Below are 25292 nucleotides of genomic sequence, written 5' to 3'. Positions count from 1 at the left end.
TTGGATAGTTTTAAGGATAAACAGGAGCTTAGATATTAAGGTTATATTACCACAAAAGTGATGTTTCTTTTCCTCCTTTTTTTTTTTTTTTTTTTTTTTTGAGACAAGATCTCACTCTGTTGCCCAGGCTGGAATGCCATGATGTGATCATAGCTCACTGCAGCCTCAAACTCCTGGGCTCAAGGAATCCTCCCACCTCAGCCTCCCCAAGTAGCTGGGACTACAGGCACGCACCACCATGATCAGTTAATTTTTTAATTCTTGTTTTTACAGAGCGGGTCTTCCTATGTTGCCTAGGCTGGTCTCAAATTCCTGGCCTCAGGCAATTCTCCTGCCTCAGCCTCCCAATCCCTTTTGGGATTACAGGCATGAGCCACTGAGCCTGGTCTCACTGATACCTTTCCTAATTCATCTATTTGGTTTAGGGTTAAGAAATGGCTAAGGTTATGAATTAATGATGTATTAATGACAGAGTATATTATTAATGTATTTATTAATGATGGAATGTATGTATTAATGATACAATTTAGAGTTAGGAATGGAAATGGAGAAAGAGTTGGACTTGGGATGAAAGATTAGGTTAACTACTAGGACAAAGCTATAGTGAGATTTAAGGTTAAGTTTTGTTTATAGTAAAGAACACAAATGGTGGATGATTAGGGCTAGAATAAAATTAAGGTTTAGATGGAATTAGGATTTGTTGAGTGCTAAGGGAACAACAGAATTAAGATTTTTACGCAAGAGTAAGCATGCCTACGAATAACTGCCTTCACACATCTTTGTCTCTGTGGACGCAACAATGCTTAAGGAGAGAGCATGGGCTTTGGAACTATATGGACTAGAACTCAAGCTCTAATTCTAATATAGTGTAGGACTGTGACCTTGGGAAGGGCTCAGTTATACTGGGACCATTTATTGAACAGGTGGTGGCGAGCAGCAGCTCATAGAGCTGCTATGGAAAGATTCAACAGGATATTGTATACAAAGCTCTTGGATCAGTGTAGGACAGAGAGGACATTCAATGAATTTTGGTCATTATTCACCTAAGATTATGTGTAGACTTAATATGATGTTAGGCTGCATTGAAATGCAGGTCAGGGCCAGGCACAGTGCCTCATGCCTGTAATCCTAGCATTTTGGGAGGCCGAGGCGGATGGATCACCTGAGACCAGGAGTTCAAGACCAGCCTGGCCAACATGGTGAAACCCCGTGCCTGCTAAAAATACAAAAATTAGCTGGGTGTGGTGGTGGGCGCCTGCAATCCCAGCTACTCAGGAGGCTGAGGCAGGAGAATCCTTTGAACCTGGGAGGCAGAGGTTGCAGTGACCTGAGATCATTCCACTGCACTCCAGCCTGAGTGACAGAGCAAGACCCTGTAAAAAACAGAAGAAAGAAAGAGAAAAAGAAAGAAAGAGAGAGATGAAGGGAGGAAGGAAGGAAGGAAGGAAGGAAGGAAGGAAGGAAGGAAGAAAGAAAGAAAGAAAGAAAGAAAGAAAGAAAGAAAGAAAGAAAGAAAGAAAGAAAGAAAGAAGGAAAGAAAAGAAAGAGAAAAGGGAGGGAGGGAGGAAGGGAGGGAGGAAAGGAAAGAAAGGAAAGGAAGGAAGGAAGCAAGGAAGGAAGGAAGGAAAGAAAAGGCAGTTTGGGTCCATCAGTGGGTGAATCTCACTATTGTCAGTTCTAGAAACAGAAATACTCAGAAGCCAATATCAGGACTTCAGCTCATTGTTTCAGTTCTCAGGACTCCTGTCTTTTCATGCTGGACTGGGGACTGGGCGAATGGCCTCGGGATACCCCTGTCTGTCGTTGTCATAGCGAACTCTCTGAGCAGACACTTGGCTCCTGTAAGTACTTCCCCCTGGGTGCTCTGGTCTCTACCTTGCCCAGCCTCCCCTCAGGAGGATCCATGCTGTCCACTCTCCCTCCCACCACACATCCCATCCCTGCTACAGGGGCTCACCATTCGTTTCACAGAATTTCCACTGCTGTTTCTCATCGAAGACAGAGGTGACTGAGCACCACAGACTGCCTAAGAAGCTGCCCTGGGAGATGCAGCTGTTATAAGCCTTTCCTCGATAGATGAAAGGGAAGATACAGCGTGGGTAATCTGTTAGGAACAGAGTTCGTGAGTGTCTTAACTTCCTCTAGTCGTTCACAGGACAGAGTCATTTAATCATCAATCAACCATCATAGGACAGGACAGACATAAGGTTCAGAAGAGACTTTATGCATTATTTCATCAAGCATTTGCCTATGCCATATACATCTGATTCTTGAACAACACAAGTTTGAACTCGGGTCCACTTATATGTGAGTTTCTTTTCTTTTCTTTTCTTTTTTTCGAGACAGAGTCTCACTCTGTTGCCCAGATTAGAGTGCAATAGCGAGATCTTGGCTCACTGCAACCTCTGCCTCTTGGGTTCAAGCAATTCTCCTGCCTCAGCCTCCCGAGTAGCTGGGATTACAGATGCCTGCCACCACACCCAGCTAATTTTTTTTAATTTTTAGTAGAGATGGGGTGTCGCCATGTTGCCCAGGCTGGTCTCGAACTCCTGGCCTCAGGTGATCCACCCGCCTCGGCCTCCCAAAGTGCTGGGATTACAGGCATGAGCCACTGTGCCCAGTGGGCATGGGTGTTTTTCAAAAAAAGTTATGTTGAATGTGTCTGTCTCTCCTGCCTCCCCTTCCACCTCCTCCATTGCTTCTGCCTCTGTCATCCCAAGATGGTGAGACCAACCCTTCCTCTTCCTCCTCCTCCTCAACATGAAGATGATGCTAATGACCTTTATGCTGATCCATTCCCACTTAATGGATAGCAAACATATTTCCTCCTTTTTACCATTTTCTTATTAACATTTTCTTTTCTCTAGTTTCCTTTATTATGAGATACGGTATATAATACATAAGACATAAAACATATGTGTTAATTGACAGTTTATGTTACTGGTAAGCCGTCTCGTCAATAGCAGGCTATTAGTAGTTAAGTTTTGCTGGGATTACAGGCATGAGCCACCTCGCCCAGCCTCAAATCCCGTTTCTTACACTTCGTTTCCTTTTTCCTTATTAACTTAGAAAATTAAGAAAGGCATAAAGATGGGATGGTTCTATTGGGTCAACTAGTCTTACAGTATCACAAGACCCTCATCCAGAGAGCACTATTTTTAACACTAGCATTATTAACATTATTACCCATTATTAGCATTCATTGTCAGGCATCCCAGAGCCTTTTCTTTTTCTTTTTTTTTTATTTGTGGAAATTAAAAACAGTAATTATATATCATTTATTACCCATTACATTATCACTGATTTTTTTAAATTTTATTATTATTATAATTTAAGTTTTAGGGTACATGTGCACAATGTGCAGGTTTGTTACATATGTATACATGTGCCATGCTGGTGTGCTGCACCCATTAACTCGTCTTTAGCATTAGGTATATCTCCTAATGCTATCCCTCCCCCCGCCCCCCACCCCACAACAGTCCCCGGTGTGTGATGTTCCCCTTCCTGTGTCCATGTGTTCTCACACAAGTTAGAATGGCGATCATTAAAACCCAGAGCCTTTTCTACGCACGCATACGTATTACCGTTTGTCTGCAAAAATGTGATCATGTCATAGACAGTCACACATTCTCTTTTGTGATCCACCCTATTCAAAGGCCACTGGCAGGGACAATGTGATACCACTCACCTTCACTCTGGCAGTACTTCCACTGGCCGTTGTACACGGCTCTGGTGGCACACCAAGGGGATAAGCTATGAATATGGGTGCAAGTGAAGTAAACAGATCCCTTGTAGGTGAAAGGAAAGACACATTCCTCATGCATCCCTGAAGGGCAGAAGGAGAAAACAGGAGTGGGGAAGAATCACGATGAATTAGCAAAGGATGAGTCTTGGTTTGGCTCTTGCTTTAATATGAATGTCCGTGTTCCCTCCCTGCCCCCGCCGCAAAATTCATATGTTAAAATCCTAACCCCCACGGTCATGGTACGAGGGGCCTTTGGAAGGTGATTAGGTCGTAAGGGCAGAGCCTTCATGACTGAGATAAGAACCCTTATAAGAGACCCCAGAGAGCTAGCTAGCCCCTTCTACGATGTGAGGATACAGCAAGAAGGCACCATCTGTGAACCAGGAGGCAGGCCCTCACCAGCAACTGAAACTGCTGGTGACTTGCCCTTGGACTTCTCAGCCTCCAGAACTGGGAGACAGAAATTTATATTGTTTATAAGCTACGCAGTCAATGGTACTTTTTAAATTTTATTTTATTTACTTTTTTTTTTTTTGAGATGAAGTCTTACTCTGTCACCCAGGCTGGAGTGCAGTAGTCTGGTCTCAGCTCACTGCAACCTCCACCTCCTGGGTTCAAGAGATTCTCCTGCCTCAGCCTCTAAAGTAGCTGGGATTACAGGTGCCCGCCACCACACCTAGCAAATTTTTGTATTTTTAGTAGAGACGGGGTTTTGCCATGTTGGCCAGGCTGGTCTCAAACTCCTAACCTCAGGTGATCCTCCCACCTTGGCCTCCCACAGTGCTGGGATTACAGGCGTAAGCCACCATGCCTGGCCTGTGGTATTTTGTTATGGCAACCCAAATGGACTGAGACAGTTCTCATGGTGGCCTGAAGGCTACACACCTAGGCTTAGCATCCAATTTCCTAATGACATGTCAGAGCATATCCAGTTCATGTTGGGGCCAGGAGCACTGGGGAAGAGTTTCATACACAACCAAGACAACCGTGGTGTGTTGTTCCTTGAGACCACTGTTTCTCAGAGCATAAAATGGGGGGCCAATGACATTACACAAAATACTTTTTGGTGGATCACAAGATCACATTAGGTTATGTAAGGACACACATTAAATAATTTTGAAATATAGACTAGAAAAAAATCATTTTCCAGTGGTCCTTTTAGTCCTTCTGCTTACGCAAAAGAGAAAGCTTCAATTTAATAGTAGTATTTCTCTACTGCATCTCTAATACTTAATAATCTCCCATTTTAACAAAAAAGAGAGGGGGGTGGGGAGCAGGACTCAAACTCAAAGCTTTATTCGGACGATAGTCTAGCAGAATTTAATAATGGGATTTTGTTTTCATAGTACAGTATTTCTTTTTGGTCGTACTTCCTATTTATGGAAAGTGGTAGTGCTTTTTTATATTATAATACTGATGTTAACCAATCTCCCAAAATGAATTTTTTAAAGTGAAGAAAAGTAAGCAAATTTAAAGAAAAATGTTGAGTAAATAATAGTACTGGTGGTACCCAGATGTGGCAAATATTGAGGGGACAACTTTCGACGTCCTTATTCTTCTCAATGAGTACAGGAACTTTGTTTTTTGTGCAGTGTATCTACAGAACCTAGAATAATTATTTGCTCAAGAAACAACAGAAACAATAAAATAAGTTTGGAAAAATGCCACGTGAAATAAAGTTAAACAGGTTTCTTTAATGAAGGACTCAACAGAAAAGTTAATATGAAAATGAGAATTGATGAATACAGTATATCGAGTTGTCCTTCTTTTTTTTCAAAATTCAATGGCACTAGAGACTAATGGTCCCTGAAATATATCAAAAAATGCTGTTCTCGGCCAGGCACAATGCTCCATGCCTGTAATCCCAGCACTTTGGGAGGCTGAGGTGGGCGGATCGCTTCAAGACCCGCCTGAGCAACAAAGTGAGACCCCCATCTCTACAAAAAAACAAACAAACAAGATTAGCCGGGCATGGTGGTGTGCCCCTGTAATCCCAGCTACTTGGGAGGCTGAGGGGAAGACCCTTTGAGCCTGAGTAGTTGAGGCCACAGTGAGCCATGATTGCACCACTGTACTCCAGCCTGGGTGACAGAGTGAGACCCTGTCTGAAAACAAAACAAAACAGAACAAAACAAAAAACAAAAACGGTGTTCTGCAGAATTTTGATGTGTAAATTTTTTTGAAAAAAGAAAGAAATGCTATTCTATCCCAAATTCCTCATTACATGAAAACCCACGTACAATAAGGACTAATTAAAGTTGATTGCTTTTTTTTTGTAGACCTGGGATGAGAGCTCAACTTGCTCAACTGTTAGTTCATTGCATTTTTCACCTTGTTTCTCAGAACTGTTTGGTATTTATTTTTGTGAAACTTAAACCAGTTTAAATCTGGAAAGTGCTTAGAAGAGTACCTGGAGCATGGCTGCTGCTTAATAAATATTAGCTATGATTATCATTGTCATCATCATCATCATTACCATCACTGTCATCATCATCATTCTCCACGCTATTGTCATTGGCATCATCATAATGCTCATCATCATTGTCATGATCATCATCATCAGTCATTGTCACCATCATCAGTCTCATTATTGTCATTGTCATCAGGATGATGATCATCATCATCGTTGTCATCATCATTGTCATCATAATCCACCTCATTATTGTCATTATCATGTGATGATGATCATCATTGTCATCATCATCATTGTCATCATTATCAGTCATTGTCATCATCATTGTCATCATCATTATCAGTCATTGTCATTATCATCAACCTCATTATTGTCATTGTCATCATCATCACTGTCATCGTGATCATTATTCTCCTCCTCATCACATCATTATTGACATCATCATTATCATCGTCATCATCATTGTCACCATCATCATCATCATCGTCATAATTGTCATCATCATCAGTCATTGTCACCATCATTATCAACCTCATTATTGTCATTATCATGGTGATCATCATCGTCATTGTCATCATCATTATCAATCATTGTCATCATCATCATCAACCCCATTATTGTCATTCTCATCATCATTGTCATCATTATTGTAATCATTATTTTCCTCCTCATCACATCATTGTCATAATCATTATCATCATCGTCATCATCATCACTGTCACCATCATCATTGTCATTGTCGCTATTATTGTTGTCATCATTACCGTCATCATTGTCATCATCGTCATATCATCATCATCCTCATCATTATCATTGTCATCTTCACTGTCATTATTGTCATTATCAATGCTTTGCCTCAGTCACGAACACCACTGAGTATATAGGATACTGTGTTGAGGGAGAGGGCAGATGCCCCTGTAGGTGGAATTAAGGTTATCTTTGGGAGTCGTTAGTAAGAATCAGCACATAATGAATACTATTAGCCATCTGCAAAGTAATCCAGCAGATGGCCTAATCTTCTTAACTGAGTTACAATCCTCTATAATCCAGACCCTGCTGACCTGCCTGTTCTCACTCCCTGATTAACATTCCCTTGACCTTATTCCATGTTCTTTCTCGTCTTTGAGATTTTGGTCCTGCCCTTCACCCTGTCCTGAATGCCTTTCCTCTCTTCCCAGCTTTAGTCCCTGCTATTCATCCATGAAGACTTGGCTCAGTCTGGGTCAATACTCTTCCTCACACTTATAATACTCAGAGTCAATCTCTATAAATGAATGCAGTTGCCAATTTTTTAAAAATAATTCATTTATGTGTCTATAACTCCCGATTACTGTGAACTCTCTGAGTGGAGGGTTTAGGTTTTGTTTATTTCTGCACTTCTGGTCCATAACACAATGTCTGGAACTTAAAGATCACTCAGTAAGTGTATACTGAATAATTTATCTGTAAATACACGCAAAGGGAACTTGGAATACTGAGTTTCACCACAAGTATGTGGGTGTGGTCTCAGGGAGGCATGACAAAAATGAGATTATAACTAGAAAAGTGGATACCCCATCAAGTACATTGTTCCTTGTCTGAATAAACTGTGAGTTCCTAAACTTTCAGGAATTTGTCAGTTCTTTGAGAACCCAGAACTTCTCTCTAGGAGAATATTCATATGCCCTTATGGTTGAGATGGCTGTGTGTTCACCGAAATCAGTTTCACTTTCCTCCCAAATGCACTGCTACACTGCATCTCCCAGACTTGCTTGCAGTTAAGAGCCATATCAGTTTTGGCCAGTGGAAGCAGGAGAAAGGGATGAATGTCACTTCCTGTCCTGGCCAAAAGAAAACAAACAAACAAAAAACCCTCTCCTCCAAGGTCCTCCAGACTCTCTTGATACTTGTCTACAAGCTAAAAGCAAAGAAACCTCAGCAGACTCTGAAACCGTAGGGGATGTTGGGGCTCCAGGATGTAAGAAGCTTGGATCCCTGAATGACCATGTGGAGCATTGTTTCCTGACCAGATGCACCCTTCTGGGATTTTGCAGAACCAAGAAAAAAAAAATGTTATTGTGTCAAGCAGCTGATAGTTTGGATTTTGTTTGTTACAATAGCTATTCTCACTACCCTCATAAATACACACTTTTTTTAAAACGTAAATTCCAGTTTTCATGGACTCTAATCCTCACTCAATGACCCCAGGTTAGGAATCTCTGGAATAAAGAATGTGGGATCAAGGTGCATCAATATGCAAATGGTTCCTGAGCCTTATCCAGAGGAGAACGATTTATCAGGCAGAAAAGGATTCTAATTGTGAAGAATGACTCACCAAGGCTTGAGTGAATGACATGTAAGCAAGGTTTCCTCTTGTTCTGTTTCCATGCTTACCTTACAGTCTTTTAGTGGTTAATTTAGATTCTGAGATATATTAAGATATAATTAGGTTGTCCAGGTTGGGGTCTGAAGGTTCTGTTCACTGGAATTATATAGCCTGCCTTTTACCCCCACCATGTGCTGAGCATTATGAAAGATGCTGGTGCCCATTATTTTATTTGATCTTCAAAATAACCCCGTGAGATAAATGCCGTTACTTCTCTTTTACAGTCTGGAAATTGACTTCAGAGAGCTTATGTTGCTTGACCAAAGTTACCAAGAAAAGAAGTGGCAGATCCAGGGTCCAAACCCCAGGTCTTCTGAGATTTTTTTTTTTTTTTTTTGAGAGGGAGTTTTGCTCTTGTCTCCCAGTCTGGAGTTCAGTGGTACGATCTCGGCTCACTGCAACCTCCACCTCCTGGGTTCAAGCGATTCTCCTGCCTCAGCCTCCCAAGTAGCTGGGATTACAGGCGCTCACCACCATGCCTGGCTAATTTTTGTATTTTTAGTAGAGATGGGGTTTCACCATGTTGGGCAGGCTGCTCTGGAACTCCTGACCTCAAGTGATCTGCCTGCCTCAGCCCTGCAAAGTGCTGGGATTACAGGTGTCAGCCACCGCGCCCAGCTTCTTCTGAGATTTTTGCTAAGCCATCTCCTGCCTACTTAGTTCCAGGAATCTTTGCTTTGCCCCATTCATTCTTCTCCAGCTTCTAAATCCTCCCTGTTGCTTTGAGTGTCCTTACCTCCACTTGACTCATAGGAATAGAGAAGGAAGGTTGTCCATCCCAACAGGTAACTGGACCATCGGGTCATCTTGGCTGCCCTCTTCTCTGTGGAAAAGAAGACAAAAATTTTCATCCCACACGTCCCCTTCCTCTTCCCATTACCTCCTAGATTTGACGTCATACATGCCATTTTTCTTTCCATCCACAGTAATTTAAAAAATAGACCAGGCATGGTAGCTCACACCTGTAATCCCAGCATTTTGGGAGACCAAGACAAAGGATCGCTTAAAGCCAGAAGTTCAAGACCAGCCTGGACAACATAGTGAGACCCCACCTCTACAAAATTTTCATTTAAATTAGCCAGGCATGGTGGTGTATGCCTGTGGTCCCAGCTATTCAGGAGGCTGAGGCAAGAGGATCACTTGAGCCCAGGAGGTCAAGGCTGCAGTGAGCTATGATTGTGCCACTGTACTATAGCCTCAGTAACAGAGTGAGACCCTATCTCTAAATACACACATACACACACATATACCACACACACACATATGTTTCTACATATGTGTGTGTGATATGTGTGTGTGTTTCTACATGTGTGTATGTACAGGTTTGTAGCCTGGAAGCACAGGCTGTATCATATAGCCCAGGTGTGTAGCAGGCACTACCATCTAGGTTCGTGTGAGTACACTCTATGATGCTCACACAAGGACGACATTGCCTAACAATGCACTTCTCAGACTGTATTCCTGATGCATAACTCTACTGTCATGTACTGTCCTTAGGAAAGTGTGATGGAAAGAAAAAAATGAAACACTTGTTGAACACTTACTGTACTCCAGGCTCGATGTTCAACACACTTTATGTCACTTGGCTTTCATAAATCAAGTAATACATGTTTTAACCCCCATTTTATAGATGCAGAAACTAACACTCAGACCTGGATTGGTCACCCAGGGAGGAAAGGGCAGGGTCTGGGTTCTAACCCATATTAATGGCTGCAAGGGCCCTTCTCATTGTTGGAACCTTAACAATAGCCTTAAATCCTCCCCATGAATCACACTCATCTCCTTAGCTGGAGACGAAAGTCCTTCAGTGATTAGCATTTACCGTCCTCATTAACCATAGTTATTACTAGCTCTATTTTCCTTCGTGCCGTTTCCTTGATGACAGATGACCATGCCATTCTCAGCAGCAACAAGAACCCACAGTTTGGAATTGGTGGTCTGGATTTGACTTGAGTCTCAGCTACTATCACCACTTCTACGGCTGGCTCCCAATTATTGACTGCTTACTGTATACCGGATGTCCTAAGCTTTGTATCCACAATCCAATTTGCTCCTGAAAATCTAAGGGCAGGCATGATCATCTCCACTTCACAGAAAAGGGAAACTGAGGCTTGGGAGGTTAAGTAACTTACCAAAGGACCACAGCTGGTACGTGATGTATCTCAGAGTCAGTGCGGGCCTGTCTATACTAGTGTCAGAGTTCTTAGGCAACGTAAACCCCTTCCCCTCTATGAGCCTTTGTTTCCTCATCTGCAGAATGTATTTAGTCGTTCCTGTGTCTCCGGGTGGCCACGAGGGTCCAATTAGACCTTGATGTGAAAATGCTTTTCACTTGTAGATCGTTAGTGGCATTTATGAATTATTAAAGCCAAGGTCAGGATAGCTCGGGAAGGCATCAGATGGAACCAACTTTTAGCAAGAAACCCAGATACCGCCAGGAATCAAAATCCCAAAGTTACTGATTTAAGTCCTCCCACAGGTAGGTGGCACCACTGAGTATCTGAGCCACACAACACGCCCCAAACTTTTTTCCTCTCCCAACAGTGCTTGGCTCTCCCGCTACACATCAAAGTGTCTTTCTCCCTTTTTCTTGTCGTTCTTCCTTGAAGCCTTTTACTCTTAACCCCAGCACCATGCCTCAAACAGGCTTTTTCTGAGTGATGTCTCATTCACTACTTGTGAAGGACTCTCATTCTCTTTGGCTAGTGGCTCAGTCAGGACTTAGACCTGACAATGCAGGATGAATGAGTCAGATTCAAATCCCAGCTCCACCGTTTACCAGCTGGGTGACTTCAGGGAAATTACTTAAATTTTCTTTTTCTTTTCTTTTTTTTTTTTTTTTTTTTTTTTTTGAGACAGGGTCTCACTCTGTCGCCCAGACGCCCAGACTGGAGTGCAGTGGCACCACCTCAGCTCACGGCAACCTCCATCTGCCAGGCTCAAGCGATTCTCCTGCCTCAGCCTCCCAAGTAGCTGGGATTACAGGCACGTGCCACCACGCCTGGCTAATTTCTGTATTTTTAGTAGAGACAGGGTTTCACCACGTTGGCCAGGCTGGTCTTGAACTCCTGACCTCAAATGATCCACCCGCCTCGGCCTCTTAAAGTGCTAGTGTTACAGGCGTGAGCCACTGGGCCCAACCTTAAATTTTCTAAGCCTCAGTTTCGTCGTGTCAAAACATGAGGATGCTAATCCTATCTACCACTCAGCCTTGTTATGATGATTAACGACAATCATAAAAATATGACAGATTTGGGAGGCCAAGATGGGAGGATTGCTTGAGGCCAGGAGTTTGAGATCAGCCTGGACAACATAGTGAGACCTCATCTCTACAAAAATAAAAAAAATAGCCTTGCATGGTGGTGCATGCCTGTAGTCCCAGCTACTCAGGAAGCTGAGGTGGGAGGATCACTGGAGCCCAGGAGGTCGAGGCTGCAGTGCACTATGATCGCACCACTGCACTCCAGCCTGGGCGACACAGCAAGGCTCTGTCTCAAAACACAAAACAAAACAAAAAACAGATAAAACTCATTGAGTGCTACACACTATTCTAAATTCACTGTAATCCTGATAGGAAGTAGCCCAACGTGGTAGGTACCATTACTACCCCAGATATGCACAGATGGGGCACAGTAAGCTTAAGCACCTTGCTGAGGGTTACAGATCATGCAAGTTGGAGAACTTGCAAGTGAACTCCAACAATCTGACTCAGTTCAGAGTAATTGAGCTCTTAACCAATGTACGATGCTGCCTCTAGGCTTAACATGGGACCGGACATGTGCTAAGAACTCATAAATATCATCCAAAATAGTATTGTTCATATAGTATTGTTTCACTTCTGAGAGCCAGAACTGTATTTTCAACTGCCTCCCAGACATGTCCACCTAGATGTCCTTCAAGCATCTCAAATTCCAAGCTTTGGCTGTTGAGATACAGCCCAAAATATGCTATCCTTCCCCCATGTTACTTCATTTAATTGCACTATGTTCTTCTCAACCACCTGAGTTGTAGCCCCCAGTGTAGATCTGCTGTCCCTGTCTCTTGCTGTGTTCTATCAGTCAGTTGGTTCTACTTTCTGGAGCTCCTGAATCTATCCGCTTTTCCTGCCTCTGCTGTTAAAGACTAAAGGAAGGCCTTTTTCATTTCTCTTCTCAACTATTCAACTGTTGTCCTGTTGCCTCACTGATATGCAGCCTCCAGCCTCTCTCCTCTACAAGGCTGAGCTCTTTTTCTCTTTTTGTTTTTTTCTTTTTTCTTTTCTTTTTTTTTTTGAGACAGGGTCTTGCTCTGTCACCCAGGCTGCAGTGCAGTGGCGCCATCATGGCTCACTACAGCCTCCATCTCCCATCAAGTGATCCTCCCACCTCAGCCTCCCAAGTGGCTGGGACTACAGGCACGCATCACCACACCCAGCTAATTTTTAAACTATTATTATTGTTTGTAGAGACGAGGTCTTGCTATGTTGCCCAGGCTGGTCTCAAACTCCTGAGCCCAAGCCATCCTCCTGCGTAGCCTCCTAAGCACTGGGATTACAGGCAAGAGCCACTGTGCCCAGTATGGGCCCTTTCCTGATGCATGCTTTATGCATCCACTCAGGAATGAGTATTTATTGAGCATTTAAAAGATGTGGGGCCAGGGCTACACGATGAGTATGCAGCAGTGGGTAAAGCAGGCATAGGCCCTGCCTTCGTGGGGCTGAGAGTCAACCAAGGAGACAGATATGAAGCGAAGAAACCAGAAACAAATACAACTCTTCGCTGTGATCATTGCTGTGGACGAGTCTCAGGAACAACTAGGACAAGGTCACTTTTGATTGAGAGGTGAGGGGAGGGTGCTCTGAGAAATGACAGGTAAGCTGACACCTGGAGGAACAGATGGAGGAGGGAGACGTGAGAGGAGCTGGAGGTATGGGGGTGGGGGATACATCCAGGCAGGAGAAGCCGACGTGGAAACTGCCTGAGATGGAAAAAGCTAGATGTGCTCAAGGAGCAAGTGGGACCCGCATGGCTAAGGCCCAGGCTGGGCACAGTGGCTCATGCCTATAATCCCAGTGTTTTGGGAGGCTGAGCAGGAGGATGGCTTAAGCTTAGGAGTTTGAGACCAGCCTGGGCCACACAGTGACACCTCGTCTCTACAACAAGTGAGGAGGAGCAAGGCCACAGAGATGCATGGTGAGATGGATGGGACCGGACCCTGTAGAGCCTCCCTCAGATTCTAAATGCAACCAGAAGGCCAGGTGTGGTGGCTCATGCCTGTAATCCCAGCACCTTGGGAGGCCGAGGCGGGCAGATCATCTGAGGTCAGGAGTTCATGACCAGCCTGGTCAACATGGTAAAACCTCATCTCTACTAAAAGTACAAAAATTCCCTCCACATGATGGTGCGTGCCTGTAATTCCAGCTACTCGGGAGGCTGAGCCAGGAAAATCGCTTGAACCCAGGAGGCAGAGGTTGCTGTGAGCCGAGATCATACCACTGCACTCCAGCCTGGGCAACAGAGGAAGACTGTCTCAAAAGAATAGAATAGAATAGAATAGAATAGAATAGAATAGAATAGAATAGAATAGAATAGAATAGAATAGAATAGAAGCAACCAGAAGCCACGGGAGGGGTTAAAGTGAGGAGGAGTGGGCCGGACACGGTAGCTCATGCCTATAATTCCAGCACTTTGGGAGGATGAGGTGGGCAGATCGTCTGAGGTCAGGTGTTCGAGACCAGCCTGGCCAACATGGTGAAACTCCATCTCTACTAAAAATACAAAAAAAAAAAAAATTAGCTGGGCGTGGTAGCAGGTGCCTGTAGTCCCAGCTACTCAGGAGGCTGAGGAAGGAGAATCACTTGAACCCAGGAGGCGGAGGTTGCAGTGAGCCGAGATCGTGCCACTGCACTCCAGCCTGGGTGACAGAGCAAGACTCCATCAAAAAAAAAAAAAAAAAGAGCAGGGGTGGCATTTATTCATTCAAAATCCTCCATCACCTTTAGAATACAATCCCTAGTCCATACTGTGCCTTCCCTCAAACTCATTTCTTATCTTCCTTCCCCTCCCTCGATCTGCCTTTTAGTTGTTTCCTGCAGAAGCCACCTCAAGGCCTTTGCACTCGCTCTTCTCTTTGCCTGGGATGATCCCTTGACCCCAGCTATTTGCATGGCTTGCTTCTTTGTGCAATAAAGAGTTCTGTGCAAATTCGAAGAATTGGTAGCAACTGATGGTCTGGAAGGTTTATGACTCTGCACAGACCAAGTTATGGATATTCATAGAAAATATTTTAGGGGCCATTCAAAATAATTATTCAACTGTAAAACAAGCCCTAATAGCCAGACACCCATGTCTCGTCTGGAACATCCAGGTGAGGACCAAGTTATGCTTTGGGCACTGGCAGGTTCAGATGCTTGGAGAACCCTCTGTCCTGAGCCCCGGGGTGGTTGGGACCAGCATCCTGCCACCGCTGCTGTTTCTTGGCTGGTCGGAAAAAGGGTTGCTGTGGCTATGGAGTCAAACCACAGGAAAATATGGGGATAGTTTTTCCAATCATCAAATGAGGGAGAATAAACTCCACCTTGGGATCTTATACATGCAGCAGATGCTGGAAAGCACTGTGTAAATGTCAGAGGGGGCATACAAGCCAGATATTTTCATTACTATTTATGAAGACAGCATACAAGCCAGAATTTTTGTTTGTTTTTGAGATGAAGTCTTGCTCTGCACCCCAAGCTGGAGTGCAGTGGCACGATCTTAGCTCACTGCAACCTCCGCCTCCCCGGTTCAAGCAATTCTCTTGCCTCGGCCTCCTGAGTCACTGGGATTACAGGCACGAGCCATCACGCTCAGCTATTTTTTTGTCTTTTTAGTAGAGACACGGTTTCACCGTGTTGGCCAGGTTGGTTTTGAACTCCTGACCCCAAGTGATCTGCTTACCTGGGCCTCCCAAAGTGCTGGGATTACAGGCATGAGCCACTGCGCCCGGCCCAAGCGAGATGTTTTAATTACTATTTATGGAGATGGGGGAGAGACAAATTTTGCCACCTCCTCTAAACCCTTGACTACCTGCAGTGTCATGCTTATATTCCTGCCTGGCCCAAAACCCCAATTCCTACACCTTAATTGGTTCATTAACCTCAAGCTTTCATTTTGACCCTTCTCCTCAAGATTCAAATGAATAATTTTTGGCTTAGATGCTAAGATCCAGACAGGCAGAAGGTTATAATGCCAGAAAGAGCCTGCCCTGGAGCCCAACCACCTGGGTTTCCATGCTTTGCCTCTTACTACCTTTGTGACCCCAACAAAGTACTGAGTTTCCTGGGTCTCAGTCCTCATCCGCACAGTGGAAGGGATGGTGATCACTGTTGCTGCTACAGAATGTTAGTGTCGTTCATAGACGCTTGGTGGGTAGAATAATACCCACCCAACACAAATCTGTCCACGTCCTAATTCCTAGAGTCCACGAATATGCTAGGTTGCATGGCACAGTGGATTTTGCGGGCCAGTCATGGTAACTCATAATTGTCATCCCAGCACTTCAGGAAGCTGACGCAGGAGGATCACTCAAGCCCAGGAGTTTGAGATCAGCCTGGGCAACATAGTGAGACCTCGTATCTACAAAAAATCTTAAAATTAAAAAAAAACAGCCAGCATGGTGGCACATGCCTGCAGTCCTAGCTATTCGAGAGGCTGAGGTGGGAGGACTGGTTGAGCCCAGGAGGTCGAGATCAGCCTAGGTAACACAGTGAGACCCCTATCTACAAACAATCTTAAAAAAAAAAAGAAAGAAAACTAGCATGGTGGCACATGCCTGTAGTCCTGTCTACTCAAGAGGCTGAGGCAGGAGGATCACTTGCACCCAGGGTTTTGAGGCTGCAGTGAGCTATGATCCAGCCTGGGTGACAGAGCCAGACCCTGTCTCAAAAAAAGGAGTGTGGAAGACTTTGCAGATGTCATAAAGCTAAGGATCTTGAGATGGGAAGATGATCCGGGATTCCCCAGATGGACCCAATGTCATCACAAGGGCCCTTATAAAAGAGAGGTGGTGGGATGCCGAGGCGGGTGGATCACAAGGATCATGAGGTCAGGAGATTGAGACCATGCTGGCCAACATGGTGAAACCACGTCTCTACTACAAAAAAAAAAAAAATTAGCTGGGTGTGGTGTAATCCCAGCTACTCAGCTGTAATCCCAGCTACTCAGGAGGCTGAGGCAGGAGAATCTCTTGAACCAGGGAGTTAGAGGTTGCAGTGAGCCAAGATTGCACCACCACACTCCAGCCTGTCAACAGAGCGAGACTCTGTGTCAAAAAAAAAAAAAACAGAGAGAGAGGCAGGAGAGTCAGAAAACCAGGTGTGACAACAGAAAGCAGAGGTTAGAGTTATGCCAGGAAGAGGCCACGAGCCAAAGAATGCAGGCGACCTTTAGAAGCTGGAAGAAGCCAGGAAGCGGATTCTTCCCTACAGCCTCCAGAAGGAATGCAGCCTGGCTGGTACCCTGATCTTAGCCCCAGTGAGACTGACTCACAGAACTGTAAGAGAACAAATGTGTGTCAAGTCGGTTAGGTGTGTGGGGATTTGTTACAGCCACTGCAGAAAACTAATGCACACACAGGGGGCTGAAAACCCTGCCTGCCACATAAAACGTGCTTTGTAAATATTAATCGTTATCATTTTCATTATCTCTGTCCCATTTGAATCAGCCATCCTGGAACAGGTACGGAGCAAAGGTGTCTAACCTTAGGCTCCCTCTCAAGCCAGCTGTGTGGCTCCATGGACACACGCACAGCTCGGAGTCCTCATCTCCACAATGGAGAAATACGTAAGTGGTTGTGGCTTCGGAAAAGGGTAGCCTGTATACGAATTTCTGCTCATCCGTGTGACCTTCAGAGTGTTATGGAATGTATTTGACTCTCAGCTTTCTTTTCTATATATGAGACAACTGAAATCTATCCCGTAGGACTGTTTAATAATGAAATGAATGTAATCCCGGCACTTTGGGAGGCCGAGGAGGGCGAATCACAAGGTCATGAGTTAGAGACCAGCTTGACCAACATAGTGAAACCACGTCTCTACTAAAAATACAAAAATTAGCTGGGCGTGGTGGCACGCACTTGTAATCCCAGCTACTCAGGAGACTGAGGCAGGAGAATTGCTTGAACCCAGGAGGCAGAGGTTGCACTGAGCCAAGATCGTGCCAGTCTTGGCTCACTGCATTACAGCCTGGGCAGAGTGAGACTCCATCTATGGGGGATGGGGGAGGGGGCAGGATTTTTGGGGGGCGGCCGGGGTGGGGGAAGAATGAAATGATACAATGTAAGCAGAGTTCTTGGCACATGCTGAGTGCTCAACAAATAATCATGGTAAACATAGGCTGGGCGTGCGGGCTCAGGCCTGTAATCCCAGCACTTTGGGAGGCCAAGGTGGGAGGATCACTTGTGTTCAGGAGTTCAAGACCAGCTTGTGCAACGTAGTGAGACCCCCTCCTTCTCTACAAAATATTAAAAATTAGTTGAGCAAGATGGTGCACACCTGTAGTCCCAGCTACTCAGGAGGCTGAGGGGGAAGGATCACTTGAGCCCAGGATATTGAGGCTGCAGTGAGCTATGATTGCACCACTGCACTCCAGCCTGAATGACAGAGCGAGACCCCATTTCCTAAAAAAAAAAAAAAAATCACGTATGTGATAAATATTTGTTGTGTTCCTCCTACTATGTGGAGTTGTCGGTAGACTGGACAGGTGAAATTCCTTCTTGCATGAGGCTAATATTTTACTAGGGTGGGAAAGACAAAATACAAATGAGGTTTTCTGACCAGGGTGGTGGCTCACGCCTGTAATCCCAGCACTTTGGGAGGCCGAGGTGGGTGGATCACTTGAGGCCAGGAGTTCAAGACCAGCCTGGCCAACATGTTGAACCCCATCTCTACTAAAAATACAAAAATTAGCCAGGCGTGGTGACACATGCCTGTAATCCCAACTATTCCATAGGCTAAGGCACCAGAATTGTTTGAAGCCAGGAAGTGGAGGTTGCTGTGAGCCGAGATCACACCACTGCATTCCAGCCTGGGTGGCAGAGCGAGACTCTTTCTCAAAAAAAAAAAAAAAAAAAGAAATGAGGCTTTCAGTATGGGGTGGTGACAAGTTCCTGGAAATAGATAATGGTGATGATGGTGCAACATTGTGAATGTGCTTGTCGCCACTAAATTGTGCACTTTAAAATAGTTAAAATCATAATCTTATGTGTATTCTACCACAGTAACCAAAACCAAAATCATTTCAGAATATGAAAAGTGCAATGAAAAAAAATAATAAACAGGGGAATGTAAACAATCATGCCTGACAGATGTCTCCTTTGGTGGTCAGGGAAGGCCTCTCTGAGCAGGTGATGTTTGAACCAAAACCTAGAGTCAGCCACACACAGTGTGAGGAACAAGCATTCCAGGCACAGGGATCAGTGAGGGCAAAGCTGCTGATGTGGGAAACAATGTGACATGTTCTGACGCACAGAAGGGAGGGCCACATGGCTGGACCCTTCATTTTTCCCCTTAGGGTGGGCCTCCCGCATGCGCAGTGCCTCCTTTAGGCTTGGGAAGTGAGCATGCGCGGTGTGTTTACTGGACTTGTACACAAGCTCGTCTGAGACTTTCTTCCCTTTCCAGTGAAATGTCCCCCAAAAGGTTGGACTCTGCATTTTTTTTTTTTTTTTTTTTGAGACGGAGTCTGGCTCTGTCACCCAGGCTGGAATGCAGTGGCGCGATCTCGGCTCACTGCAAGCTCCGCCTCCCGGGTCCACGCCATTCTCCTGCCTCAGCCTCCCGCGTAGCTGGGACTACAGGCGCCCACCACCACGCTCGGCTGATTTTTTTGTATTTTTAGTAAAGACGGGGTTTCACTGTGTTAGCCAGGATGGTCTCGATCTCCTGACCTCGTGATCCGCCCGCCTCGGCCTCCCAAAGTGCTGGGATTACAGGCGTGAGCCACCGCGCCCCGGACTCTGCCATTTTGTCTCTTAATGCGCATGCCCGGGCTCATTAGCCCAATCCCTGAGATTGATTGATTGATTGATTGATTTTTTTTCTTTTTTTTGAGATGGAGTCTCACTCTGTCACTCAGGCTAGAGTGTAGTGGCACGATCTAAGCTCACTGCAACCTCTGTCCCCCGGTTCAAGCGATTCTCCTGCCTCAGCCTCCCGAGTAGCTGGTATTACAGGCGCCTGCCACTGCACCCGGCTAATTTTTGTATTTTTAGTAGAGACGGGGTTTCACCATCTTGGCCAGGCTGATCTTGAACTCCAGACCTCATGATCCACACACCTCAGCCCCCCTAAGTGCTGGGATTACAGGATTGAGCTACCGCGCCCAGGCCATCCTTGAGATTTTACTGGAAGCTGCTGACTACCAATTTTGGAGTAAGTGCAGAGGAACGAAAAGATGGTGACACTAGCAAACCTAGGTCAGAGCCTTGTAGTTCTCAGCAAGACACTGCATCTGTGTTCCCCATGCACATACATGTACAGAGTGTTTTCCTGAGCGGGCATGTGAGAAGCCACTGATATCAATCACCTCTGGAAGTGGGAACCAGGGGTAAATAGGAGACTTCTTTCCAATTAAGTTTTTATCACAGATGTGTGACTTATGTCTTTAAAAACAATTTAATTATGTATATACCTAGAAGAGAAGAGTTGCAATATTCCCAACACAAAGAAATGATAAATGTTGAAAGTAATGGATATCCTAAATACCCTGATTTGATCATTACTGTCTGCATGTATCAAAATATCACATCAGTGGCTCACACCTGTAATCCCAGCACTTTGGGAGGCTGAGGTGGGAGGATCACTTGAGACCAGGAATTTGAGACCAGCCTGGACAACAGAGTGGGACACCATGTCTATTAAATAAATAAATAAGGAAAAGAAAAAAAATCACGCGTACCTCAATAAATATATACAATTGTTGTGTATCAATAAAACATTTTAGAAACAGTAATTATACATGTATATGCACATACATAATGTGTATATACATATACGTGCACATGCCTGTATACATTATAGATGTGTATATATGTATACAGGCATGTGTAATATACACACATCATATGTGCACATATACAGGTATATGCATGCACATATGCTCACATGAAAACATGCAGAGTTAAAATGGTTTTTAAAAAAGATAGAACACCCTGAGTAAAGCAATAGGAGGCAGTTTAAAATCACAAAATGAAAAATCTGCAACAATGAGATGGCTGTCTTAGGAATGGATTAATTTTATGAGGTAGTTATTGACTTACCAAATTTATTGAACATCTATAGAGCAAAGCGCTGTGCCGGGGCCTCTTGGTGTTGGCATTCCAATTCCACTGGCATGCCAGTAATTAAAAACCTGTGTGGATGTTTCAGTGGTGCCTAGCAGAGTGACATTTAATAAGGTACTTCACAGCTTACCCCTCTATAAAATGGGGATGCTAATAAACAGTTCTACTTCATAGAGTTGTTGGGAGGATTGAATTAGATGAAAGATACAAAATGCTTAAGACAATGCGTGCTATAGAGATAACTCACAATAAATGTTGGCCATTAATGATGACGATGATGATGATGATAACATTCATTCACCATGCTAGACCGGCAGTAATTAATTAATTAAGCAAACATTTTGAGAATGTTCTAATTCTCTTCTTTTACTTTTGTTATTTATTGGCTTTCAAACTTTCCTGAAAATATTACCTTCTGAGAAATTTTTTCTCTGCTTAATGATACTCTTCATTGTTAATATTCCCTCATCCATCCATCCATCAACCATCCCTTTACCAACTCTTCTTTCATCATCCATCCATCCACCCATCCACCCATGTATCCTTCCACCCATTCTTACATCCATTCCTCCATCTATCCATCTTTTCATCTATCTTCTTCCATCATCCATACATCCATCCATCAATTCATCCACCCATTCATCCTTCCACCCATTCTTCCATCTGTCTATCAATTCTCCCATCCTTTTGCCCATCTTTCACCAGCCATCTATCTATCCACTCATCTGTCCATTCATTTATCCTTCTATTCATCCATTATTCATTGAATCCATCCTCTTATCATCCATCCATCAATCATTCATCAAATAAGTATTTAAGAAACCCACCATCCATAAGAAACTGTGTCAAGTACCAAGAGGAACCATACATGATTTCTGCCTTCAACAATCAGAGATAAATCGTTTCATCCATCCTTCAGTTTATTCATCCACTTCTCATCCATCCTTCCATCCATCCATTCTTTCACTGTTCATCCATTCTTCTATCCACCCATCCTTCCTTTCATTCTTTAATCTTCCTTCAATCCACCACCCATCCAATGAGTATTCAAGAACCCTATCATCTATAAGGAAATGTGGTGGGTACCAAGAGGAACCAGATATGATAGCTGTCTTCAAACAGCTATAGATAAGACATTGGCACCAATATCTACCACCCAACATGGAAAATAATGGCAGATACAACTGGTAGTATTAAGGCCCTGATAGGGTGCCCAAGAGGCAGCTTAGCCCACAGCCTCTGCCCTCTCGTTCTCTTAAGCCAAAATAATTTCACAGTGGAGCGGTGAGAAGATAATAGCACCCAACCAACCAGGGTTCAAATCCTACCTCTCCCATGTTTCAACTGGGTGGCCTTGGGAAGGTCATTTCACCTCTCTGAACTCCAAGTCAGTATTCCTATCTGTTTAGTGGAGATAAAACCTAAACTATAGAAGCCATTGTGAATAATTACAGGCACACATGGGGCTGTAAAGTCACTGAAGTATAGTGTACCTTCAAAATAATGAGTCCTTCTGCTTCTCAGCAGCAAATGACCCCAGATCTGAAACAAAACTTCAGTGTAAGCCTTCCCTCCACCTCTAGGCGCACACACACACCTCTTCTATTACATATTTAGGCTGCCTTTGGAGGGAGAAGCAACAGGATCTCAGTAAGCTCTTTTTGAATCTCAACTTTCTTTTTCCTAAAATAGGGAGAGTAAGCCTTACCTTGGAGAAATGGTCCAAACATTGACAGAACCATGAAGATTTTAATCCACTACCAAGAATTTAATAAGTAATTCACCCAGTCTCTTAACAGGTAACTTGTTCCCTTTTCTTCAGTTTCTTCCCTAAGCTTGGGATTCAGGCAACCTTCCTTAGCATTACATCATTCATAGAATCTGGTTTAACCCATTTCTTTGAGTTTATTAACAGAGAAAGGACCTCACCCACAAGACCACCTTCCCTACTTTCTCTGGCTGTCCCCTTCCAGAACCAATATGGCAGCCACCAGCTACTTCTGGTTCTTGAGCACTTGAAATGGGAAAGTTCAAATTGTTCTATGTTGTAAGTGTAAGATACCTATTGATTCTGAAGACAAAGTATAGGGAAAAAATGTAAAGTATCTCATTAATAATTATTTGTATTCATTATGTGTTGAAATGATAATCGTTTAGATATACATGGATTCCACAGAACATGTTATTAAAATAAATTGCACTCTTCTTAGTTTTTTAAAGTGCTTCTGCTATAAAACTTACAATGATTTATGTGGCTCGTATTATATTTCTAGTGCACCATGATGCTCTAGACCTTCCTTCTTTGCTATGGGGGCCCTAAGACCCCACTTGTCACACCCTCCCAAGTTTCCGGGTCAAAATGTACCTTTGAGAGAGTTCTTCTGGGCCCTGGCTCTCTCCACGATCTCTCTTTAAGGTTCTGCTCCCAAGAGCTCTGGATTATCTGGGGATTGGTTGAATGGCTTTGGCCCCAGCCTGTCTGTAGGACACAAAGGCAGCTTCTCAAAGGAGGGTTCTTCATCAGTGGTTACTGTCAGAAGGCAGTCTGGATGAGATCAGCTGTGGTTAATTTATGATGTCTGGAGATAAGCCCATGCATATCCACGAGGCCCATAAAATTCAGTCAAGTGTACACAGAAGGGGCCTTGCGGGGGCTGGGGTCAGGGACAAGAATATCAATGAACAGAGGAGGGAACGTTCCCAGAAATTCAGCTATGAGGAGCTGGAGAGGTTTCAGCTGAACAATGAAAAAGCCCTACTATTTTCTTTTCTTTTCTTTCTTTCTTTTTTTTTTTAGATAGAATTTTGCTCTGTTGCCCAGGCTGGAGTGCAATGGTATGATCTTGGCTTACCACAACCTCCACCTCCCGGGTTCAAGCCTTTCTCCTGCCTCAGCCTCCCAAGTAGCTGGGACCACAGACACATGCCACCACACCCAGCTAATTTTTGTATTTTTTAGGAGAGACAGGGTTTCACCAGGTTGGCCAGGCTAGTGTCAAATTCCTGGCCTCAGGTGATCTACCCACCTTGGCCTCCTAAAGTGCTGGGATTACAGGCATGAGCCACTGCACCCAGTCCACATTAACCTGCTAAGGGATTTTTGGATCTCGTATGGCTAATAATAAAGGGAAACTGATTGAAGAAATACTTGCAGAATGGGAAACTGATGACATGCAATGCAGTGAAGAGTGACATGAAACAAAGATGTTAAAGGGGAGAATGGGTGGCTCCGCAAATGTACAATGTCTTAGCACACTTGGTCTTCATAAAGTATCAATAATAATAGCAAAAAGGCAGTGTGCCAGAGACCACCCATTATGTTGTAGAATATAATCAAGATCTGTAAAAGATGTTCAAACAAGAAGGAAAGAGGTGCCAGGCACAGTGGCTCATGCCTGTAATCCCAGCACTTTGGGAGGCCGAGGCCGGTGGATCACCTGAGGTCAGGAATTCAAGACCAGCCTGGCCAACATGGTGAAACCCCATCTCTGCTGGGGTCTGCTGGCACACCCCAGCACACCCCAAAAATAAAATTTTTGTATTTTTGTAAAAATACAAAAATTAGCTGGGTCTGCTGGCACACGCCTCTGGTCCCAGCTGCTTGGGAGGCTGAGGCAGGAGAATCGCTTGAACTCAGGAGGTGGAGGTTTCAGTGAGCCAAGATCACGCTACCGCACTCCAGCCTGGGAAACAGAGTGAGACTCCATGTAAAAAAAAAAAAAAAAGAAAAGAAAGAAAAAAAAAGAAAAGAAAAAAGAAATGTTAGAAATAAGTGAAGGCAACAGTCATTTCCAAAAACTAGGATTCCTCAAAGGTATTTTTAAAGTCTTGGATAGGCTTTTATTTCATAAGAGTTTCTAATTTGATAGTTGCTGACATTTTTGACAGTTTAGTTGGGGGGAGGGCTTTCTTTTGACACTTTTTTCCAAAGGAGATTCCATCTTACTGAGAAAAAAAAATGGAGATGAAAAGATAGCCCGTTTTCCACAATTTTTTTCTGAGACAGGGTCTCACTCTGTTGCCCAGGCTAGAGTGCAGTGGTGCGATGATAGCTCCTGGCAGCCTCAAACTCCTGGGCTCAAACGATCCTCCTACCTCAACCTCCCAAAGTGCTGGGACAACAGGCACATGCCACCATGCTCGGCTAATTCGTCAATTTTTTTTTTGTAGAGATGGGGGGTCTCATTATGTTTCCCAGGCTGGTCTCAAACTCCTGGTTGCAAACGATCCTCCTACCTCAACCTCCCAAAGTGCTGGGACAACAGGCACATGCCACCATGCTCGGCTAATTCGTCAATTTTTTTTTTGTAGAGATGGGGGGTCTCATTATGTTTCCCAGGCTGGTCTCAAACTCCTGGTTGCAAACGATCCCCCTACCTTAACCTCCCAAAGCACTGGGATTGCAGACGTGAGCCGCTGTGCCCAGCCCCTCTTCTAAGAATAGTAACTAAGGGCCAGGCGTGGTGGCTCAC

The 25292-nt window shown here is 44.2% G+C and overlaps 1 protein-coding gene across 3 annotated transcripts in view; it reads right to left on the bottom strand.

Moving 5' to 3' along the window:
* The window catches only part of ELSPBP1 (epididymal sperm binding protein 1), a 30523-nt gene extending 7158 nt beyond the window's left edge, over nt 1–23365 (bottom strand). For 2 of the 3 annotated variants that reach the window (XM_017027130.2, XM_047439213.1), the window contains exons 1-4: nt 10656–10915; nt 9260–9346; nt 3689–3826; nt 1958–2104 (exon numbers count right to left, since the gene is read on the bottom strand). In XM_017027130.2, the coding sequence (XP_016882619.1) occupies nt 1958–2104; nt 3689–3826; nt 9260–9346; nt 10656–10773 (490 nt within the window). In that variant the 5' untranslated portion in view covers nt 10774–10915. Of the gene's footprint in view, nt 1–1957; nt 2105–3688; nt 3827–9259; nt 9347–10655; nt 10916–23185 lie in introns of those variants that run through there. The other variant, NM_022142.5, reaches the window with a different exon arrangement.
* Between the last annotated feature and the right edge of the window lie 1927 nt (nt 23366–25292).

This window comes from Homo sapiens, chromosome 19 (genome assembly GCF_000001405.40).
Source record: "Homo sapiens chromosome 19, GRCh38.p14 Primary Assembly".
NCBI classification, from domain to species: Eukaryota; Metazoa; Chordata; class Mammalia; order Primates; family Hominidae; genus Homo; species Homo sapiens.
Note: the sequence above shows the minus strand (reverse complement) of the source record. Positions and strands in the feature narration are given on the sequence as shown.